Source organism: Homo sapiens, chromosome 4, assembly GCF_000001405.40.
Source record: "Homo sapiens chromosome 4, GRCh38.p14 Primary Assembly".
Lineage (NCBI taxonomy): Eukaryota > Metazoa > Chordata > Mammalia > Primates > Hominidae > Homo > Homo sapiens.
In genome coordinates, this window is record NC_000004.12 from 116,192,632 (window position 1) to 116,195,104 (window position 2,473).

The 2,473-nt window shown below is 34.0% G+C and overlaps 1 pseudogene; it reads right to left on the reverse strand.

Annotated features, from left to right (window-relative positions):
* Window positions 1-1,199: 1,199 nt before the first annotated feature.
* Window positions 1,200-2,125, reverse strand: TTC39CP1 (tetratricopeptide repeat domain 39C pseudogene 1; annotated as a pseudogene).

Consider the following 2,473-nt stretch of genomic DNA (forward strand, 5'->3'; position numbering starts at 1 on the left):
ATTACATTTTTAGGCTATAGATTATGCTCAATTTTTAAGCCAAAAATTATGAAATATTCTCATTGAGTACAGGAATATTATATTATGTTAAGCATCTCTAAAGATTCTAAAGAATTTGGCTAATTTCGATTGAGCTTTCAATAATGGGCATGCTTTTTTAAAAAATCTAATATTCAAATTAGACATTTAATTGAATGTCAAGACAGATGCACTGAACTTTCTAATAAGTTGGCTCTTGATTTCAAATTTATCATCTTTTTTCTCTTAAATATTCTTCTCTGTATAAGCAAAGATTACCTTTGTTGTAATTATATTAAAAAAATCAGTGAAAGCAGCACTTTAAAAAAATAATAAAATAAAAAGTCCAGGTTTGTTTGGTTTGGTTGGTTTTTTGCCCTTGGCATCTGTCTTCACATGAGTCACATATTTTTGATTCTTTTCATCATTTAATAGTAAATAAACATGGATATCTGGATATTGTATGAAACAAGGACAAAACTACAATGCAGAGTTCAAAAGTATCCTCAGAATTATATTTTCACTTTATCCTGTTTGTCTCTTATTCTGATATCCTGCTTACTTAGTTACCATTTCTAAAAATCCATATATTCATTTATGGAGATGGGAACATATCTCATTTACTGTTGTATTGTCAGAGCCTACCACACTCATTTACTATTGTATTGTCAGAGTCTACCACAGTACTTTATATGTGGTAAAAGTCCAATAAATATTGGATAAATATAATCATAATTAGTTAATAAGGGAAAACAGTTGCCAAGAGAATATTATTTACTTTCTATTTCAAAGGACAGGTAGTATAAAGAAAATTAAAATGAGATTCATCTAGAGTGTGTTACAGGTAAAAGCTGTTCAATTAATTAAGAACTTTAATAACTTCCAGTTTATGGTGCTATAACAATTTCTGGTATCTAGAAGAATAGACTCATCTGTTTTTATCATTGAAACAAACAAACACAAAAATAAAAATGAAGAATGTATAGCTATCTTGCCCACCATTCTCTTTAAATGTGAATATGCTGAGATCAATAATGACTGAGATTAGTTGCTTCTGTATTTTATTTTTGAATACTTAGTTTAATTTTGTTTTAAAATTAATAAATCACAAAATTAAAATGAACAAGTTCATTTAACTGTCTTCCCAGGTAGTTATTATTATTATTACGTTTTAGTTATATGTTTAAAAGAGGAGATATTTAATATGTCAGCCTAATTGGAAAAATGTGTCTTTGGCATAGGTGATTTTCAGAACAAAAGCTCATCTTTACAAGAGCTTTGTCCTCTGCTTTGATCTTAAAAAACAGAACCTGGGTGGAGAGTGACAGAGCAGAAACATCAGATCTGTCACTGAGAAACCAATTTTCTGAGAAAGACTGGAATCGATGTAAAAATGCAATCCGTTTTCAAAGTTGGAGCCAGAGCAATCGTACTTTTCTTAAGAAGTAGAGTTCTGCTTCTCTCTAGTCTCTGCTTTCACTAATAGAAAATAGCCAAGTTCACAGCAAGCATACAGTTGAACATATAAGTTATACTGACGACACAACTCATCTTTAATTGCTTACTGAAATAACTGAACAACATCTTCTGAGTTTCCTAGAGATTTATGTATGGCACCAAGAAGCAAATACTTTAATCCAATAGATGAATTATCCACTCACTGGCGAAATTTGACTAATTCCTCTATAGGTTGGGAACAGAACAGTTTGGAAGGGCTTTCTATAAGTATAACACTTCAGTAGATGCCAGCACACAGGGCAGTTTGGTTAAGGTTTGTTTCCAAACTCCCTCTGACTTTTTCACAGAGAACTGTTCAATTTGGTTGTTTTTCCTTTTGAAGAGTTTGTGAACTTCTTTAAAGACAAACTGTGCCTCCCACATCACCAGTGGATTCCTGACAAACTGCAGTTAAACAGGCAGATAGCACTGGGACTGTCTGAACCCTTTATTTTTTTTCAGCCTCTCTAAGGAATCAAATTTATCCTTGCAATTCAGCTTTACCATTTGGCACCAACCAATTTCATACAGACAGACATGTTGAATTTCTCTCAGACGTATTGCAAGTTCCAAAGCATTATGAAAAGGAGTTAAGACACTTGATTTGTCATGACTTATTATAAAGGACACAACTCAGGAACAGTCAAATGGGAGAGATGCACAGGGCAAGGTATGTGGGAAGGGGCATAGAGCTTTCATGCCCTCTCAGGGCATGCCACCCTTCCAGAACCTTCATGTGCTCACCAACCTAGAAACTTCTATTTTTAAATGCCCTGAATATATATGCCATACAAATGATTGAAAACAACAACAACAAATCAACTCCATGGCGGTCACCATGTTAGATCTGTTGAAATGCTACAACAGGCCAGGCACGGTGGCTCAGGCCTGTAATCCCAGCACTTTGGGAGGCAGAGGCGGGCGGATCACCTGACATCAGGTGTTCCAGATCAGTCTG